Source organism: Homo sapiens, chromosome 9 (genome assembly GCF_000001405.40).
Source record: "Homo sapiens chromosome 9, GRCh38.p14 Primary Assembly".
In the NCBI taxonomy this organism is placed as follows: domain Eukaryota; kingdom Metazoa; phylum Chordata; class Mammalia; order Primates; family Hominidae; genus Homo; species Homo sapiens.
Genome location: NC_000009.12, coordinates 5,052,271 through 5,074,208, shown reverse-complemented (window position 1 = coordinate 5,074,208; position 21,938 = coordinate 5,052,271). Strand labels below are relative to the sequence as shown.

The 21,938-nt window shown below is 33.8% G+C and overlaps 2 protein-coding genes across 10 annotated transcripts in view; one reads left to right on the top strand and one right to left on the bottom strand.

The window, feature by feature from the left end:
* The window catches only part of JAK2 (Janus kinase 2), a 145,559-nt gene that overhangs the window by 55,740 nt on the left and 67,881 nt on the right, over positions 1-21,938 (bottom strand). For 7 of the 9 annotated variants that reach the window (NR_169763.1, NR_169764.1, NM_001322194.2 and 4 more), the window contains 8 exons: positions 19,325-19,646; positions 18,421-18,540; positions 9,169-9,326; positions 7,420-7,531; positions 5,001-5,187; positions 4,157-4,284; positions 1,583-1,717; positions 424-511 (listed from right to left, as the gene is read on the bottom strand). Coding sequence is in view for 7 of the 9 variants with exons in the window: in NM_001322194.2 (NP_001309123.1) it covers positions 424-511; positions 1,583-1,717; positions 4,157-4,284; positions 5,001-5,187; positions 7,420-7,531; positions 9,169-9,326; positions 18,421-18,540; positions 19,325-19,646 (1,250 nt within the window). In the remaining 2 variants the exon portion in view is untranslated. The remainder of the gene's footprint in view (positions 1-423; positions 512-1,582; positions 1,718-4,156; positions 4,285-5,000; positions 5,188-7,419; positions 7,532-9,168; positions 9,327-18,420; positions 18,541-19,324; positions 19,647-21,938) is intronic. The other 2 variants (NM_001322198.2, NM_001322199.2) reach the window with 1 other exon arrangement.
* The window catches only part of INSL6 (insulin like 6), a 193,664-nt gene that overhangs the window by 111,431 nt on the left and 60,295 nt on the right, over positions 1-21,938 (top strand). The window lies entirely within an intron of this gene.

Genomic DNA, 21,938 nt, shown 5'->3' with positions numbered 1-21,938 from the left:
TATCTAGTATCATATCAACATAATCATTTCTGTCAGTTCCATTAAAAATTAAGTGTATCATTTATATGCTTTGTCTTCATAATTCCAGATAAGTTTGTACTGAAAAGGCCAGTTATTCCAATGTTATGTTGAACCTGCCATAATCTCTTTTGCTATCATGAACACAAAATGTTTTATAGACATTTGTTTACTATAATACTCTATTGTTTGGGCATTGTAACCTTCTACTTTTAACTTCATTGCTTTCCTTTTTCACAAGATATAACTGAATAGTCCTACAGTGTTTTCAGTTTCAAAAATACTTAACTCCTGTTAAATTATAGTTTACACTGACACCTAGCTGTGATCCTGAAACTGAATTTTCTATATAAACAAAAACAGATGCTCTGAGAAAGGCATTAGAAAGCCTGTAGTTTTACTTACTCTCGTCTCCACAGACACATACTCCATAATTTAAAACCAAATGCTTGTGAGAAAGCTTGCTCATCATACTTGCTGCTTCAAAGAAAGACTAAGGAAAAAAAAAAGTACAAAGAATTGTTGTTTGACTGTTGTCCATAAATAGTTCAGAAAATTCTCTCTGCCATAATAAAGATGCACTTTCTCCTACTTTCAGCATGACTATAGATGAGGATACAATGTGCTTTGGTCCCTTTATATGGACCTGCAACTGCCATCAACGTTCTGAGGAAACCCCTGTGTAAGCCTGGAATATGGAGATCAAAGTGAGAGAGAGCAAGAGTGGTACAGGAATCATGAATAATGCCAGTCAAACAGGCTTGACCCATAACACCTGAAATAGAGGACAGAAGTACAACTAGAGGTAGATGTCAGAGATAGATATAGGAAACTGAGGTAGATGGATGTAGCCTTTAAATAACACTTGCTAAAGAATTAAGAATGTGCAGATAAAATATCACGACATCTGTGTCAGGATACTAGCATAGTTTTAACATCACTCTAATTCAACTAAACTGTGACTAGAACCCCTGGGTATGATTAGTGAATCACAATCACCAATACTGTGGTATTCTGGATTAGAACAACTCTTTGGCTTGAACTTTTCACATCATCTTCTAACACCAACACCCTTTAAGATATTGTAAGTATCATATCTTGCTATGTTCAGAGCTCTGGCAACTGGCCACGGGGTCTGCCAGCTAGCATCTCTGGATGATGCCCAGAGGCATCTAGATTTCACTAAGCATGTTCCTTAGTACAGTGCCTTTGAAACTTGGTTTTTTGTTTTTTTTTCAAATAAATGTAATTGTAGAGGAGCCTCTGTGTAACCCATAAAGCTCTGGGGAGCCAAGTTTGAAAATCAAGGCCACAGTATATGCAGAAATGTAATAACACTCCTAACATAATGCTAAACATAATTAGTTTGGAATTAATTTTTTTAATCCGGTAATTTTCAAACCCTGTAATTCTATAGCCCCACAAGAATGTATCCTCAGAAAAGTCCTTGACACATTTAAAAATTACAATTTTGAAAAGCTGCACACATGAGTACGTTGTATGCATATGAGAGCACATCTTTAAACAGCATAAACTACATGAACAATATAAAGAACATACACACCTCTGAATAGTTTCTGTGTGCTTTATCCAGAACTTTTAAAAGAACTTCTGTTTCATGCAGTTGACCGTAGTCTCCTACTTCTCTTCGTACGCCTTTAAAAATCTTTGTAAAAGTGCCTTGGCCAAGGCTTTCATTCTTCAAGAGAAAAAGGTAAAAGAAAAGAATGAGTAAAGATGGAGAACGAAGTAGGAACAAGAAAATACATTCAATGAGGAAGAATTTTTTTAAATCCATAAGCAAGTATTTTCCTTAGAATCTAAATCCAGATTTAAGACTCCAAATTAATGCTTTTATTCTGCTTCCTTAAATAGTAATAAGAGACAGAAAACAAGGATTAATGAATTAAGTGTATTTTGGCTCTACTCGGTTTTGAAATCTCCTGAATGGGCTATAATTGTCACTTTTTAAAAATAGAGTCAGTGTTTACCTACATTTGCTTACATGGGAATCATTTTCTTTGCCTTTCCTACTAGCACACTAGAGAATGTGGTCTGCAGAGGCAGAATATCTGACTTTCTCTTATTACCACTTGTATGACCTTGTACAGGCTATTTAATCTCTGTGCTGCAGCTGTCGTGGTTTCTTCATCTGAAAAATGAGAATAATAACTATTTTCCCATAGGATTGTTATGATCAATAAGTGAATAAATACATAAAAGCACTTAGCACAGTCCATGACACATAGTAAATGTGCATTAAGTATCAGCTATTACTACTAATACTAGTATTTCTTGCATATCTTTACAAAGTAATTGTTGAAAGCCTGCACTCTGCAGTAAGGCTGCTTGTGTTCAAATCCAAGGTCTACTATTTATTAGATTTGTAATGTTAGTCAAGTTACCTGGCCACTCTGTTTCCTGTTACTCACATGAAGATGCTTGTCTTTACCATTCTGGCTAATTCTATCTATTGTCTCCTTATAGAGCTCAGATATGAGTTGGGTCTTTCTCATTTTGCCTTCCATGCCACTTAATCCCTCTTTCATATAATCCATTTCTTTCTCCCTAACTGCTGCATTCTTAATTTCTTCAGATCTGTCTTGAGGTTCACTACATCTCTCTTCAGCTATAAGTAATTTACTTTTCATCCTGTATATTCTGTTTTAATGTCAATGAGGATATTTATCATTTCTATGCCTTTTTCCTGACATCTTTTTTGTTTGTTAAAACAATGTCTTGTTATTTCTCCGTGGTTTCAATTCCTTTTCTATCTTTAAACATGTATATGTATTTTATAGTCTGTATCTGAAAATTCTGTGATAGGAAGTTCCTGGAGTTCTAATTTTGATGTTTGTTGGTCTACTGACTCTTAATTAATCCTGCATTATTTCCTTGTATGTTTCTAAATTTTCTATTAAAAGCTTGTGTTTGCAATGCTTTTATCTGTGGGAATTATGGGTTGCCTAGGTTAAGAGTATGTGGTTCCGAAAAGATTTTTTTGTTTCTTCCAAGCACCACACAATATTAGGAGAGTACCACTTTTAATTTAGGATTTCTCAGTCTATGTAGGTAGTATAATGAAGCCCAAATTCCAAAGCTTATGATGACAAATTCTTAGGAGAGACTCCTTTTCCTCACCAGAAGCGCAGTTAAAAATGACAATATTCCTTTTCTTCTCTGCTTGCTAGTGGGTGAATTTTTCACATTCTATATATTGTTTTACTGAGGATGTATTTACTTAAGTGTCCTGGTTTTACTCAGGGATAGTCTCACTTTTAACTCGTGGCCTTGCACAGGTCTGAGACCTGGCCCTTTTAAATTGCTCTTAAATCTTAACCCCCTTGATAAATGTGGCTGATCATCAACCCTCACCACCTGACTGCCAGATTATCAGATCTTATGTACTACAGTTGACCCTTGAACAGCATGGGTTTGGACTGCACAGGTCCATTTATATGTGGGTTTTTTTCAATAAATCCAGTGGGCCCTCTGTACTGGCAGGGCGGGTTCTGCATCTGCAAGGAAACTCAGTTGGAAAATATAGTATTTCTGCATTCCAGCCTGGGTGACACAGCAAGTCCTGCTCTAATAAATAAATAAATAATTTTAAAAAATAATTAGTTATTTAAAAAAAGAAATACAGTGTTCATAGGATGCAAAACCCATGTATATAGAGGGCCAACTTTTCATATCCACAGGTTCCACTTAAGTATCCTCAGATTTTGGTATCCATGGGTAGTCCTGGAACCAATCCCTCATGGACACTGAGAGATGGCTGGATTTTTTTCTCAGTTTCTTCTTTATTTTTAACCCCTTGAATTTCCCTTACTTTCTTGAGAACTTGGGAGTTGCGATATAGGTCTTTGTAGATTTTTAATTTTTAATTTGAGATTTGTGAAGAATCATTTTTAAATTTCCAAAAAGAAAATTAAGATTCCATTCTTAGGATAATTAAGATAATTAATTTTGCTAACATCTAACACAAGGTTGGCATATTTTTCATAAGAAAAATATTTAAATCACAACTAAATTTGTATATAACAAAATAATTCCAATGTCACATGAATGTAAATCAAGAAAACAGATGTTGTTTTAAAAGGACAAAAAAGACAGTAATGAGTATCTAATGACTTACAAATATCAAATCTTCATTTCTGATTTTGTGAAACACCATTTGGTTCATATGAGTAGGCCTCTGTAATGTTGGTGAGGTTGGTACATCAGAAACACCATTCGTTCTGAAGACTAGAAGGTTTGATTTATCTGAAAAAATAAAATACATATATATCACTTCAAAATACACTGAAAGTATGAATTGCTCCAAAGAGGAGTAAAATGAAATGTGTTCTACGTATAAGAAATGCTTAATAACTCCTAATTGTTCTTTTTTTATAATAGAAAATTATTTTAGGGGTCAACTCATTGAACTTTGATATTTCTTCTTAGTTACTTCATACATTCAAAATTATAATCACTTCCTTAACTAATGTAATTTGGATTTTGATGTATTCCTGCCAGTTATTTCATTAATTCAAAATTATAGTAACTTCCTTAACTCATACAATTTTTCAGGAATTTTAATAATTTTTAATAGTAAGGCTCATTATTTCAAGGAATTTCCAACTTTACTGTCTTTATTTTTAAAATACAGAAATTAAAATCCTCGAAGTATATGAAAATTTTTACTTAAAACAACATAAGAATTTAGTAGTGAGATCTTCCAGTTCAATAAATGACATCATACCACACATTATGTTTAAAATCTCATTTTAGAATAATTGAACTTCAAGTCACTTCTAGACCACCAAAACCAAAGTAAACAATCTTATTTGATGATGCTTGTACAATAGAATAAGATAAAATTAACTTTTAGAGCTGCTTCTTTCATATATCCTTTGAAATCAATGTACTGAAGATACTTCACGCCACATAAACAATCCATGACCAGTAATTTAAAAATAACTAGAAAATTATCTTACCTTTTGGCTTTGGGGGACAGCATTTAGTAAACTGGAAAATTATATTGTCTGAGCGAACAGTTTCCATCTGGTAACAATTCAAAAGATCTTTAAGACTGCTGAAGTTCTTCTTTGTCCCACTGAGGTTGTACTCTTCATTCTCATTTTTTGTAATCAAACAGTGTTTATATTCAATGACATTTTCTCGCTGTATAAGTTTAATTATAAAGAAAGGGAGGGATAGTCACAATGGACATCACAGTGATTATTCTGACAAAATGATATCACAAGAACAAGCAACAGAATAAACATTTGAACCATGAATCCGATGTAGTGCCAGTATAGTGATAGAAGTACTTAGTTCCTCAAAAGGGCAATTTACAATTTCTCAGCCTACAAAAGTGGTTTAAAAGTTGATTTTATGAAAAAGCATGTAAGAAGGCAATGATAATTAATAGCAACAATACCATCCTTAATAGTTTTCCATCATTTATAAGATAAAGCCTAAAACAAATGTAGCATATAGAGCCTTCCATGAGCTGGTTTCTGCCTCCATCTCCAATCTCAGCTCCTGCCACTGCCAACATACAACCTACGTTCCAGCCATATTAAATGACTTAAATCATTTCAAGCAAATGCCATGCTGCTTCATGCCTTGATAATTCTTCATGCTATCTTTCTACCTAAGAATGTATACCCACTTCTTCTGAGCAATGAACCTTTATTCATTCATCAAAACTCAGTTCAAGTACCACTGTTTCTAAGAGGTCCTCTCTAATGCTCACCTCTTTGCACAAGCAAAGGTGAACATACAGCCATTCCACTGCACCACCATTGTATTTGTATAATTATCTTTAATATTACATTTTTAATATTTTGCAGTTTTTAAATATTTGTCTTATGCACTATATTATGAACTTGTTCACCTATTTTTAAGGTGCATTTTATAAACATATTCATTCTACTCAGAAACATTTATATAAAATCTACCAATACCTCAAGGTCAATCAGGTTCTTCCTATGCCAAATAACCTTTCTTGTTTTTTTTTTTTTTTGTTGTTGTTTTTTTTTGAGACCGTGTCTCGCTCTGTCGCCAGGCTGGAGTGCAGTGGCACAATCTTGACTCACTGCAACCTCCACCTCCCGGGTTCAAGCGCTTCTCCTACCTCAGCCTCCCGAGTAGCTGGGACTACAGGTGCGCACCACCATGCCCAGCTAATTTTTGTAATTTTGGTAGAGACAGGGTTTCACCATTTCACCACATTGGCCAGGATGGTCTCAATCTCTTGACCTCGTGATCCACCCGCCTTGGCCTCCTAAAGTGCTGGTATTACAGGTGTGAGCCACCACACCTGGCTGCCCTTTCTTAATAATTGTAAACCTGTCTGTTACTGTCTATATTTGCCTATGCTAGATAATTACAATGTTCGATTTAGAATTTTTTGTATATTTGAAAATTTTTGTTTGTCCAGTAGATAAGTTTCCTGAAGGTAGGGCTGTAGCATAAACTCTATAATACATAGCTCTCATATTAGGCTTGGCACATACAGTGAACATAAAATATATATATATATTTTTTTGAATTCATACTTGAATATAATGTACTATTATCTGTTATAGTAACAGGATACTTTGAAATTAGGATAGATTACCAGTTTTACACAAAGGTAAAGTGATGGCATAACCTCCCTTCTGTAAGTAATCTACCCTCTACATATGCCAAATATAAGTTGCATTTTATAAAAATTAAAATAATTGAATAACAAAGTTCTTATTTTTCTCTGTTTTAAAAAAGCAAGATAAATTTGCAAGCTTCTATAGTTTCTTAGGATTTATACCATGAAATTGCCTCATAAGTGATAGTATATAATCATAGATGAGATCCAAAATGATCTGTATTAACAGTGGGGTTTCATTGCAGTTTTACCGTTGAAACATGCATTGTAGACCACTATTCTTAAAAATATTAGAAAATCATCAGTTAAAAGTGCTTTAATGTTTCTATTTGTTTGTTATTGACCTAGTTTTCTCTAATTCTGTTTCCTCTAATTCTGCAACCACTGTTAATAAACAGAAAATTTGCTTCCGATTTATTTTGTTCTACATGATGTGGCAAAGATTTCCAGTTTTGCAAACAAAGAAACATCAAGACACTTGATGAAATACCTTTTAACACACTGGTAACACCAAAACATCAGAAAATAAAATAAATGCAAAATAAAAAGATAGACATTATAAATTATTTTATATTTTTATATAAACCCTGGGAATTATAACTTGTTTATTTGTACAGAATCTCTGAGGAAATTAAGCATTATACTAGTTATCATATCCAAAGCTATAATTCTCAGTATTAAAAAGGAAATATGGTAAATAAATATGGAGAGGAAATTAAATGAACTAAATAAAGTGTTACCACTAATAAGTGTGACATACTAACCTCGACAGCAAAAGTCAAAAAATATTTATTAAAGTCCTTAGGACTGCATCGAAGTACATACAGTCCAGTCTGATTACCTGCTTTCTTCAGTTTACTAATGGCAAAATCCATCCTAAAGGTAAAGAAGAAGCAATTTGAATAATATATCAAGCACCATAATATTATGACCAAGTGTCATCTAAAACAATCAAAAGTCAAATCTAAAACTGTCAGAATTGTCTCCTCTACTTTATATGTTTAGCAATAATCTTTCAAAGGAAAAAATCAAAGTACCAAGCTATTTTGCAGTAAGTTCAAACCACTTCAAGGGACAATTATATAGCTTTAAAAACCAATAAAAGGTATTTATAAGACAAAATCACAAAGAACAATTTGTTCATTTGATTTTTCTGCCTGCTGATTACAAAGTTAATATTTTTAAAACCATACTCTCAGAAACCTTCATTTAACTATAAAGATTATATATCAGAAAATACTTATATCTCTACTACCATAGCAGTTACTGACATAAAAATCTGAATGCATGATTTTATTATTCAGTACGATAACAAAGTCTAAGAGAAGAACCATGGCAACTGACAAAGACTACTGGTTTTTAAAATTTTTTATGTTTTCTGAAGCTGCACACCCTGAAAGAAAAGCAAAATATAATCTATACAAAAGAAAGAATCATTCTGTTTCACTTATCACCATATTTCTAATATACAAACCAATGCTTGCACATAGTAGTTACTCAGTAAATATAAATAAAAGAATGTTTGAATGAATTTATGGATACATGAATAAAGGCAAGGAGTTTTAAAAATATTAAACATGTAAATTACAGACATAAAGTTCAAGTAGTACAACTTTTTCATAGCAACAATATTCATTACTAAATAAATATTAAGCATAGACTAAATCAACTCTTTATATTACCCAAGATGTATTTTCTCAAATATTTAGGGGTAGGTTAAATGCAAAGAACATAATATGCTCATGATCCCAGATTTTCCCTTTGCTCGAGTTATTCAAATCTGTTGTCAACATAAACCACATCCTAGCTAAGAGATCATTAGGACTTAAGCTAAATAGATGTTATGCATGATAGCTAGCTTTACCCAGTATTAAAGTAAGGATCTACAACTGTGTGAGCCAATGTGATAGTTACTAGCCACATGTAGCTATTTAAATGTAAAGAAATTAAAATTAAATTAAAATTCAGTTCCTCGGTTGCATTAGCCACATCTCAAATGCTAAACAGCCACATGTAGCTAGTGGCTGCTGTGTTACACAGCACAGATATAGAATATTTTCATCGCTGCAGGAAGTTCTACATAGCACTAGTCTAGAAATGTGGACATCATATATATCTTGTGTTTGAACCTTTCAGTAGAAGGAGATGGACTATCCAAACATAAAGAATTTTCAAATTTTGCACTGTGGCTTCCTTGCAGTATTTTAAAATTAATAAAACATAAATTGGAGATCTTTCTTTTTTAGTAACATGCAGGAGTGAATCACACATAGGCATGATTAACAAATGTTAAACTTGTACAACTTATAAATATTATAGATTGGGATACAGATGGTAAATTATACACTAAATAATTCTAATTATTATGTAATCTGATTGCAAATAGCCTTTTGTTTAAAAAAAACTTGTCAAATTATTTTTTTCTAAACATACATGTATCACTCTGTTAAATCTTCTTTGTAAATACAGCATTTACTTTTCTAAAAATTTACTTTTAAGTCTGTATTACTCACGAAATTGGGCCATGACAGTTGCTTTGTATATTTTCAAGCACGGCTGGAGGTGCTACTTCTTTACAGAGGTAATGATGTGCATCTGCAGTTAATCTATAATATCCATCAATTAATGACACGAAAGACAAAGCTTCCCTTAATGAGCTAAGTTCAATTTCCTAAGCAGAGAAAAGAAAAAGAAATAGCACCTTTTAGAAAGTCAACTCCATGTTAAATATTGAAAATTTTCTTCATTCCATGTTAAATACAATTTTCTTCTAAATTGCTCATATCTTTTATGGCTCAGTACTCAATATGAATTACAAATTCTCATGTCTGATATTTAAGATCCTCCTAAATACAGATTATCATACCTTCCCAGTTATAGTTCACTCTATAGCCATCATTTTACTTTATTTTCCAATGTCCTTCTTAGACTAATATACCAGTTATCTCAGCTAGAAATCTATTTAATATGATATAAAAGTTGACATTAGAAATCATGAGCATTTCCTTTTTTCTTTTTTTTTTTTTTTGAGAGTCTTGCTCCATCGCCCAGGCTGAAGTGCACTGGCACAATCTTGGCTCACTGCAACCTCCACCTCCCAGGCTCAAGCGATCCACCCACCTCACCCTCATGAGTAGCTGGGATTACAGGCATATGCCGCCATGCCCAGCTAATTTTTGTATTTTTAGTAAAGACAGGTTCTCGCCATGTTGGCCAGGCTGGTCTCCAACTCCTGACCTCAAGTGATCCACCCACCTCAGTCTCCCAAAGTGTTGGGGTTACAGGCGTGAGCCACGGCATCAGCCCTACATACCAATTACATACTGCTAAAGTATTCATGCTACAAACTAAAATGTTAGGATATGTAGCTATGCTATGATTTTTTTGTGGCCCCCGCCCAGTCAGAGTCTTGCTCTGTCGCCCAGGCTGGAGTGCAATGGCGCGATCTTGGCTCACTGCAACTTCTGCCTCCTGGGTTCAAGCGATTCTCCTGTCTCAGTCTCCCAAAAAGCTGGGATTACAGGCACACGCCAAGACGCCCGGCTAATTTTTGTATTTTTAGTAGAGACAGAGTTTCAACATGTTGGCCAGGCTGGTCTCAAATTCCTGACCTAATGATCCGCCCGCCTTGGCCTCCCAAAGTGCTGGGATTACACGCGTGAGTCACCATGCCCGGCCTGATTGTATCTTAATACATATGTGAACATGTAGTCAGCCAAAAATGCAGCATGTTACTTACATGGGAAAATATATAGACGTATTATATTTTTACATACAAAAAGTCAGTTATATAATGAAAAAAGCCCCATTTGTAACAAAGAGGATGCAATATCAATAATTAACAAAAACTTCAAAACACTCTTATGCAACTTTTTATTTAAATATATAGAAGATTAACCATGGTAGGAAAATTCAATATCATAAAAATGTAAAAATCCTCTCTAAATTAATTTTCTAATTTGTCTCAATCACATTAAAGATACCAACAAATACCAGAGGCTGTACCTAGAAAAACAGGGCAAACATGAGATTTAGAAAATCAGATCCAATATAAGAGAGATGAAAACATAGTTACCAGGATAAGAAAGGAATGACCAAAAATTACAGCTGACAAAATAATAGCTGTACCCAGAAAACTTCCAGTCCACACTACAAAGTAAGATGCTGTGATCGAAGAGGTACTTCTCCAGAAAAGAAGTAAAAATGCTATCATATATGACAGGTTTGATTATGTGAAATTTTGTATTGAGAAGTCCACTACTTTACAGAGTTCTTGTAGAAAATGAAAATAAAGCTAGATACAAAGGAAAAATCATAAAGCAATAATTAACTCCTGGAAAAAGTTATATAAGAACGAAAATGTGATTACAGCATATTTCTTGGCCCAGCAATGAACAATATTTACATAATCATAAAGAGAACACAGAATAGAGTCCTCAACCAAAAATTATAATAAAGAGACAAGCATGTGACATGTTTGAACTATAAAAGGTATTTAGCTAACACAAATAGCCAAAAAAACAAGTACTATAAAAGGTATCCTAAACAAAATTAAAAGACTTGGAGATTACAAACATGTATAACAAAGGAATATACCTAACATACATTGTGGGAATAAAACGTATAAAACAATTAAAAATAAAAAAAGAAAACTAGTCAAAGGACATGAAAAGGCAATCCACAGAAGTATAAATATTAAAGCTGACCTATAAACACATGAGGTATTGCTCAATCTCAGGTTCTAATTAAGGAAATGAAATATAACAGGACAGCATTATTTTGCCCATTGATTTGGCAGAAAAATTAAAAGATTGATAACATCCAGTGTTGGCAAAGGATACAAGAAAACAGGTGTACAGATACATTGGAAACACCTTTTGAGAAGTATTTTAATAATCTATCAAAGTTGTAAATATTCATACCCTTTGAACTAGCAGTTCACTAACTAGTATCCCTCTTATTGATATACAGACACATTTTGTTTTACTGCACTTCCCTTTATTGCTCCTTGCAGATATGACCTTTTTTTTTTTTTTTTTTTTTTTTTTTTTTTACAAATGGAAGGTTTCTGACAAACTTAAGTGGAGCAAGTACAAGTCTATCAGTGCAATTTTTCCAATAGCATATGCTTACTTCCTATGTGTCATGTTTTGGTAATTTTCACAAAATTTAAACTTTATTACTATTATACCTGTTACGGTGATTTGTGATCAATGACCTTTGATGTAACTATTGTACAGTTGTCCCTCAGAATACAAGGGGGATTAGTTACAGGACCCCTGCATATACCAAAATCTGAACATATTCAAGTTCTGAAATCAGCCCTGCAGAACCCATATATGCAAAATGTCAGCCCTACACATATGCAGGTTTTGCATCCTGTGAATACTATATTTTCCATCCATGTTTGGCTGAAAAAAAATTGCATATAAGTGGACCCACACAATTCAAACCTGTGATGTCCAAGGGTCAACTGTAATTGTTTTGGGGCACCACACACTGGGCCTATATAAGATGGTGAACTTAAGTGATAAATTTGTATATGTTCTGACTGCTCCACCGAATAGCTATTTCCCTTTCTTTTTCCCTCTCCTCAGGCCTCCCTATTCCCTCAGACACAACAATAATGAAATTAGGCCAATTAATAATCCTACAATGACCACTGAGTATTCAAGTGAAAGGAAGATTCACCCATCTCTCACTTTAAATCAAAAGCTAGAAATGATTAAGCTTAGTGAGGAAGGCATGCTGAAAGCCAACACACGCTGAAAGCTAGGCCTCTTGCACTAAAAAGGCAAGTTATGAATCCAAAGGAAAAGTCCTTGAGGGAAACTGAAAGTGCTACTCCTGTGAGCACATAAATTATAAGAAAGTGAACAGCCTTATTGATGATACAGAGAAAGTTCTAGATAGAAGATCAAACCAGCCATAACATTCCCTTAAGCCAAAGCCTAATCTAGAGCAAGACCCTAATGCTCTTAAATTCTATGAAGGCTGAGAGAGGTGAGGAAGCTGCAGAAGAAAAGTTGGAAGCTAGCAGAGGTTGGTTCATGAGGTTTAAGAAAAGAAGCCATGTGCACAGCATAAGTGCAAGGTGAAGCAGCAAATGCTGATGTGGAAGCTACAGCAAGTTATCCAGAAGATCTAGTAAGGACCATTGATGAAGATGGTGACACTAACAAACAGATTTTCAAATGTAAACAAAACAGCCTTCTGTTGGAAGAATATGCCATCTAGGACTTCCACAGCTAGAGAGGAGAAGTCAGTGCTTGCCTTCAAACTTCAAAGGATAGGCTGACCCTCTTGCTAAGGGCCTATGCCATTGGTGACTTGAAATTCAAACCAGCGCTCATTTACCATTCCAAAAATCCCAGGGCTCTGCGAATTATGCTAAGTCTACTCTGCCTGTGCTCTATAAATGGAACAACAAGGCTTGGATGACAGCACATCTATTGTTTATAGCATGGTTTACTGACTATTTTAAGCCCATTGTTAAGATCTGCTCAGAAAAAAAGATTGCTTTCAAAGTATTACTCTCATTGACAACGCACCTGGTCACCCAAGCGCTCTGACAGAGATGTACAAGGATATTCATGTTATTTTCAGACCTGGTGACACAACATCCATTCTGTAGCCCATGGGTCAAGGAGTAATTTCAACTTTCAAGTCTTATTATCTAAGAAATACATTTTGTAAGGCTAAGCTGCCATAGATAGTGATTCATCTGATGGAGCTGGGTAAATAGAAAAACTTATGGAAAGGATTCACCATTCTTGATGCCAGGAAGAACATCAGTGATTCATGGAAGAAGGTCAAAGTGTTAACATTATCAGGAATTTGGAAGAAGTTGATTCCAACCCTCATGGATGACTTTGAGGGGTTCACGACTTCAATGGAGGAAGTCACTAGGATGTGGTAGAAATAGCAAGAGAACTAGAATTAGAAGTAGAGCTGAAGATGTGACTGAATTGCTACAATCTCATGATAAAATTTGGACAGATAAGTTGCTTCTTATGCATAAAAAAATGGTTTCTTGAGATGGAATCTAGTCCTGGGTGAAGATGCTGTGAATGTTGTTGAAAAGACAGCAAAGGATTTAGAATAAAGTTTAGTACATAAAGCAGTGGCAGGGTTTGAGAGGACTGACTCATTTCTAAAGAAATTCTACTGTGGGTAAAATGTTACCAAACAATGTCACATGCTACAGAGACAACTTTAACGAAATGAAGAGTCTACTGATGCAGTAAATGTCATTGTTATCTTAAGAAATTGCTTTGGCCAACCCAACCTTAAGCAGCCACCACACTGATCGGTCAGCAGCCATCAACATCAAAATAATACCCTCATAAGCAGAAAGATTATAACTCTCTGGAGGCTCAGATTATCATTAGGATTTTTTAGCAATAAAGTGTTTTAAATTAATTTTTAAGACATAATGCTGTTGCACACTTAGTAGACTTGATTATAGTGTAAACATAACTTTTATATGTACTGAGAAACCAAAAAATTTATGTGACTCACTTCATTGCAAAATTTGCTTTATTGCAGTGGTCCAGAACTGAACTAGAAATATCTCTGACGTATGTCTATATACGTTTTACAAACATCCTACAAAAGACTTAGAATCTATAGAGACTCTACAGATTGATCAGAAAGGGACAAGTCAATGAAAAATGTGCAAAAGACTGTCACAGGCACTTCATAAGAAGGATATTCAGATGAACAATAAGTAAGTGAAAAAGTATTGAACATCATTACTCACCAGGGCAATGAAAATAAAAACTACAATAGCTACCAGTACACATCCACCAGACAAACTAAGACATTTTTAGACTGACAAAATTAAGAGTTGATGGGGATATGAGACAACTGTAATTTTCATGCATTACTGAAAGAAGAGTGAACTGATAGAACTACAAAAAATTGTTTGGCAGTATACTAAAGCTATCACTATGACTCAATAATCCTATCTCTAGGATATATATATACAAAAAAAGAGTGCATAAGTCCACCAAAAAATATGTATAAGAATGTTCATGGTAAATTTATCCCTAAAATCCCCAAAGTGAAAGCAACCCAAATGTCCATCAACAGAATACATTTAAAATTTGAGGTACAGTCAAACAATTCAATACTACCCAGCAATAAAAAGGAATGAACTGACACATGTAACAACATAAATGAATCTCCAAACATTATACTAACTAAAAGAATCTAGATTTTAAAAGAATACATACAGTATCATTCCATTTATACAACCTTTATTAATAGATAAAACTAAGTGATGGTAGATGATAGGTATCTTAAGTTAGGGGTGGAGGTGAATATGTGGGAAGATGCATGTGGAAACCTTCTAGGAGTAAGAGAACTATTCTGTTTTTTGAGGTGGGTGTGGCTACAAAGATGTACAAATATGTAAAAATTCATTGAGCTATACACGTAAGATTAGTGTGCTTTACTGGGTTCATGTTATATCTCAACAAAGTAAAAAGAAAAATAGGCAACAAAAGTTGAACTAGCTAAAACTTTAAAACATCTGCGCATCAAAGGACACAAGCAACATAGTGAAAAGCAATCTATGGAATGGGAGAAAATATTTGCAAATCATATATTTGAAAAGGGATTAATATCCAGAATACATAAATAATTTCTATAATTCAGCAAAAAAAACCTGATTAAAAAATGAGCAAAGGACTTGAATATATATTTCTTCAAAGAAGATATACAAATGGCAATACATATATGAAAAGACGCTCAGCAACACTAATCATTAGGGAAATGTGAATCAAAATCACAATGAGATACTACTTCACACCCATCAGATGGCTACTATCAGAAAACAGAAAATAACAAGTTTTGATGAGCATGTGGAGAATGTACTCCTGGTAGGAATGTAAAATGGTGCCGCTGCTATGGAAAACAGCATGGTGGCTCCCTAAAAAATTACAAGTAGAATTACCATATGATCCAGCAATTCTACTTCTAGGTATGACATGGTTTGGCTCTGCGTCCCCACCCAACTCTCATCTTTAATTGTAATCCCCATGTGTCGAGGGAGGGACATGGTGGGAGGTGACTGAATCATGGGGGTTGTTTCCCCCATGCTGTTCTCATGATAGTGAGGGAGTTCTCATGAGATCTGATGGTTTAAAAGTGGCACTTTCCCCTGGACACTGTCTCTCTTCTGCTGCCATGTAAGACATGGCTTCCTTGCCCTTCACCTTCTGCCATGATTTTAAGTTTCCTGGGCCAGCCATGCCGAACTGCGAGTCAATTAAACCCTCTTTTTAAATAAATTATCCAGTCCCAGGTAGTATCTTTATAGCAGTGTGAGAACGGACTAATAGAAGGTATATATCCAAAGGAATTGAAAGCAGAGTTTTCAAGAGATATTTGTACACCCATGTTCACAGCAGCATTACTCACAATTGTCAAAAAGTAAAAAAGTGACCTGAATATTCATTGATGGATGAATGAACAAATGTGGTATATACATGACACAGAATACATACATATATTAAAAATGAAGGAAATTGATACATGCTGTAATACAAATGAACCTTGAGTATATTATACTAACTGAAATAAGCCTGTCACAAAAAGACAGTATTGTTTCAGCCTGCTTTTATGAGGTATCTAGAGTAGTCAAATTCATAGAATAAGAAAGTAGAGGGGCTGGGCACAGTGGCTCACACCTGTAATCCCAGCACTTTGGGAGGATGAGGCAGGCGGATCATGAGGTCAGGACTTCAAGACCAACCTGGCCAACATGGTGAAACCCCGTCTCTACTAAAGATACAAAAAATTAGCCAAGCATGGTGGCGTGCACCTGTAATCCCAGCTATCGGGAGGCTGAGGCAGGAAAATTGCTTGAACCCAGGAGGCACAGGTTACAGTGAGCCAAGATCGCGCCATTGTGCTCCAGCCTGGATGACAGGGCAAGACTCATCTCAAAAAAAAAAAAAAAAAAAAAGAAAGTAGAATGCTGGTTGCAAGGATTGGGAAGAGGGGGAAATGGTGAGTTTTTATTTAATGGGTGTAGACTTCAATTTTGCAAGATAAAAGAGTTCTGGAAATTGGATGCAAAAGTGAATATACTTAACACTACTAAACTGTACACTTAAAAATGGTTAAGATGCTAAATTTTATTTTATATATATTTTACCAAAATTATAAAGAGAAATAAATGCCAGAATGAAGAGGAAAATGACAGTAAAAACAAAATGTTACTAACACATAATACACTGGGAAAATGCAATAATAAGCAAAAATTACTTTCCTATATCCATAAATAATTTGGTAGGAAAATACACAGAGAAGAAGTATTAATTTTAATAAACAACAGAAAAAGCATAACATATCATGAATAAAATTCAGCAAGAAACATGATGTATCAATATGAATAAAATGATCAAGAATTACTGAAAAACATAAAATAATACTTGTATACAAGGAGAAATACAATGTATCCCTAAAATAAAAAATTTAATATGAGAAAGAAATGTCAACTCTTCCCAGTTTGTTGCACAATTCCAACAAAATGTCAGTATAATATTTTTAAGGAGCTTTACGGATACTTAGCAAAGAAGTTAGTGTCACACTTAAGAGCTTAGGTTTTCAAAGCATGCATTTGAGTTTAAATAGCCCTACCACTTAACTAACACTGTGCCCTTGGAAAGTTACTTAACTTCTCTGTATTGCAGACTTAAAATTAAGCCAAGTCCAAATACAGTCCCATGGAGAAGTTCTTTGGGTTACTACAGTTTGTTCACATTAAGATCAATAAACTCTCCCAGAAACATTTATTATATATCCACATTGAGGTTGATAATTGTTAATCATCCTTTTATGCATCCATAAAATATTTATCAAGCTTTTTCTAAACTAGGCCCTGAGTACTGTGCAAGGTGTAGGGGGTACAAACACACATAAAAATATGATCCTTACCTTCAAAAGGCTCACAGTCTACTAGGCAGTAGGTGTACTATCATATTTTTATCTAAGAACAGAAAACTATGCTGAATTAAGTGAGTTGCAAGTTAGTTACAATTTTGGTAATATAACCCTGGAACAGCCAGACAGGTAAGCCATATAAATACTTAAGATAAATAGACAAATAACATTAATAGGACTAGTTTAAGCCAGGAAGGGTCAAGAAGCATCTGAGTTAAAAAGAAGACAGAGAAGATAAATGAGAAACTTAAGAGCAAAGTATAAAATAATTCATTTCTCCTATTTACATTAAAATAAATTAGATTTCTGAAGCTATTTAAAAAAAGAGAAAGCGTTAATCTTTTAGAATCAACCATGTCCTACAGCTTGGGTGGGGCTGACCTGGGATTGATTTACATTTTGTTATATAAATTCCAGACATCATTGATTTATTTTTTCTCCTTTAATTAGGCAGTATAACTGGCACATATACATCCCTGTTGATAAAATATTTTAGTCAGGGGTGAGCATTACATCAGAGAACTAGTATAATCTAGAGTAGGGATGGGGGAGAAAGTAACTGGTGCTTTGCTAATCATAAAAATGAGTAAAAAAAGTACAGTAATGTACAAGAAACTCTGTAGGAAGATGGTGTTGATAGTAATACAAAAAGCTAGATGTTATCAAAAAGTTTACTGAACTGATGTTTAGAGTTATATTTAAAACTACAATCAAAATTCCTACCAGAAAATAATTTTGGTACTAAGATTCTAAAATACACATTTCTGAGAACTATAAAATGAAACCATTATTCAATCATAAAGCAAACTTACCAGATTTTTACCATCTTGCTTATGGATAGTTACAACTCGGCTTTCATTTGAACCCTCTTGGTTTGCTTGCTTAATACTGACATCAATAATATTAGGAAAATCGCAATATAACTGTAAATCCTATAATTAAAAGCATGTAAAATTAAAAACGGGTAGAATTTACAGAGCCATTTTAAAACAAGACTTAAGAAGACAACATTCTTTCCAAATTCTTTAAAATAAAAAAGGTATTGATAACAATAGATAAGCATTAAACGTGATTTACTCTATCAATCTAACCCTAAGACTATGCTGTATCTTGCTTGACTTAAAAATGAGGGCATTAAATGATGCCAGGAATCTAAAATGTGCTATGGCACTCTTCAATTCAATTAACATTAGTAGAAACCACTGCCAGAAAACTGGAAATGTGACTACCAAAGATGAAAAATTAAAAAATGATCCCTCTAAATCTCTAGTAACAATCTATGAACAACACGGATATTAACAAATTCAAAACTTGCAATGCAAACCTAAAATAAATTCATTATTTAGCAGGTATATATTATCATAAAATCAATTAATATCAATCTTTTCTAGTTAACAAGTTTTATAATTATGCCTTCTGTTATCACTAGTAGTGAAAGGCAAAACTCCTTTAAAATCACTTTTAGAATTTGACATCTTTCTGAAACTATAATATAGTCATTGGTAATTATTTTGTCATAAAAAATTAAATGAAAAAACCATTTAAGAATAGTAGGCAAAGAATTATATGACCTTGATAGGTTCACGCTATTAAAAACTTCCACTTCTATCAAATGGGAGAAGTGCAATACCATGTTGCAAATGATTAAAATTACTTTGTTTTTATTTCCATTGTACTTAAAATAACAAAGAACAAGAACATATCATTAAGGATTACCTGTTCTGTCAGTGTCTCACTTTCTTTATGTTTCCCTCTTGACCACTGAATTCCACCGTTTCCAGTTATTATAATGGTTGCAAAAATCTCCTCACCTGAAGGACCACTTCCAGGTTCTTTTACTTCAAATTTCTCTGTGTAGAAGGCAGACTGCAGAGTTTCCAGATTTATAAGATACTTAAGTTTCAAGTTTCTGGCAGTGGCTTTGCATTGGCTGAATTGCTGAATAAATCTGCGAAATCTGTACCTTATTCGCTTCCTTGTCAAAATATGATAGTCTTGGATCTTTGCTCGAATACATTTTGGTAAGAATGTCTTGTAGCTAGGGATAAAAAAGCACATACAGAAAAACAAAACAAAACAAAAATTGGAAGATAAATCTAAAAATTGAAAAAGAAGTTACCACCTTTTTCCATGATTAAGTAGGCCTTACAACACAGTGGCCAAGTGGCGTAAGTTGACATAACCCCCATCCATACAGTATAAAACTTTAAGATTTTGTTTGATGATATAAATATATCCACACACTCTAAGTTATCATCAATGTTTACAAAAGAAGATGTTAATCTTCTTCCCCTAATGAAATGAATCCTCAGTCTAGTTAATAAGAATCTCTAAAAATTCCTTTTCTCTATTTCACATACCAGAGTTAATGGTTTATAAGATAATATTTTGGCATATATTGAACTGTGCTACAAATATTTCCTATGATGCTGTGCTCCAACATTTACCTGAATTTTGGAAATTGTTACATTTTGTTGGAAGCCATTTTCATTATGCAAACATACTTCTGTATATTATTTTGTTAGGCCAGCTTCAACTCCTAATAATTCCTTTGTGATCAAAACAATTCCATTTAGAAATATTCTGACTTTTCTGTACATTCATCTCTATGTACAATATTCTAAAGAAGGTAATTTATTTCTGTGCTTCTAAGGAACATTTTATTTCTGAAGTACCATTAAATAATTTTCCATGCCGTAATATATGCTAATCTTTCTTCCAATCATCCATCTCCTATCTAGTTACTCATTCGACAAGGCTCAAGTACCATCTAATCCAGGAAGCCTTTCTGGACCTCATTCTGTGGCATATTAGATGTAGAATCCACAGGCACAAAGGACTTGCTAAATTAATGTCCGTCCCGTATAAAATGTAAAATCTCTTAATCCCACATTTCCTTCTGGCCACAGCCTATCTGGCCTCTTTTTGAAAGCATGTACATAGCCATTTCCATTTTCTTGCCTTCCATTTATCCCTCAACTCATTCCAGTTTGGCTTCTGTTCCATTATTTCAAGAGAAACTGCTCTTGCTAAAACCAAGAAAGACATCCATGTTGCTAAAACCACATTTCCACATGGCACAAGACACAAAGAAAAATGGGGCAAATTAGACTACTTCAAAATTAAAACTTTTGTGCTACAAATGATACCTTCAGGAAAGTAAAATAACAATACACAGAATGGGAGGAAATAATGGCAAATCATAAATATGATTATATGTGGAGACTTGTATCCAGAATATAAAAAGAATTTTCTAAACTCAATAATTAAAAGACAAATAACCCAATTAAAAAATGAGCAATGAATTCAAATAGACACTTCTCTACAGAAGGCATACAAATGGCCAAAAAGTACATGAAAAGATGCCAAACATCAGTAGTCATTAGAGAAATGAACATCAAAACTAGAATGAGACAGCACTTCCACCCACTAGGATGGATAAAATACAGACAGAAACAAGTGCGGAAAGAGTTGGAACTCTTCATGTACTGCTAGTGTGAATGTAATGTGGCACAGCTGCTTTTGAAAAGTTAAGCAGTTCCTCAAAAAGTTAAACAGTTACCATATGTTCCAGGAATTCCACTCCTAAATATATGCACAAGAAAAAATGAAAAAAATACATCCACAAAATTACTCATATACAACTGTTCATAGCCACATTAGTCACAATAGCCAAAACATGGAAGCAGCCCACATTTTCATCAAGTGAAGAACAAATAAGCAAAATGTGGTATATCTATATAATGAAATGATTCAGCAATAAAAAGAAATGAAGTACTGATACATTCTACAACATGAATGAACCTTGGAAACATCATATTAAGTGAAAGAAGCCAGACAAAAAAAATGCCACACCACATTTTGCATGATTCTATTTATATGAAATGTTTGAGACAGGAAAATCCACGCAAACAAAAAGATAAGTGGTTTCCAGAGGCTGGGGGAAAGTGGGATGAGGACTGAATGCTAATGGGCATGGGGTTTCTTTCAGAAAGGATGCAAATGTTCTAAAATTAGATTCTGGTCATCTTTATACAACCCTGTGAATATAATACAAAATATTAAATTGTATATTTTAAATGGGTGAGATTTATGATTTGTAAATTATCTCAATAAACTCTTTTAAAATATCATGGAATCTTATATGAATGTTTAATATCTACACTATTTTTAAAGTAAAGCAGTAAAAAAAAATGATGCAGCATTTTGCATCTGTGTTTATATCCTGGCTAAGAGCATGAGTTAAAAGAATCAGATAAATAGTTACTAAATAGTCATTAGGTTTAGGACACTAGACTAAATAATGTAGGGATAAGAGCAATAGATGACA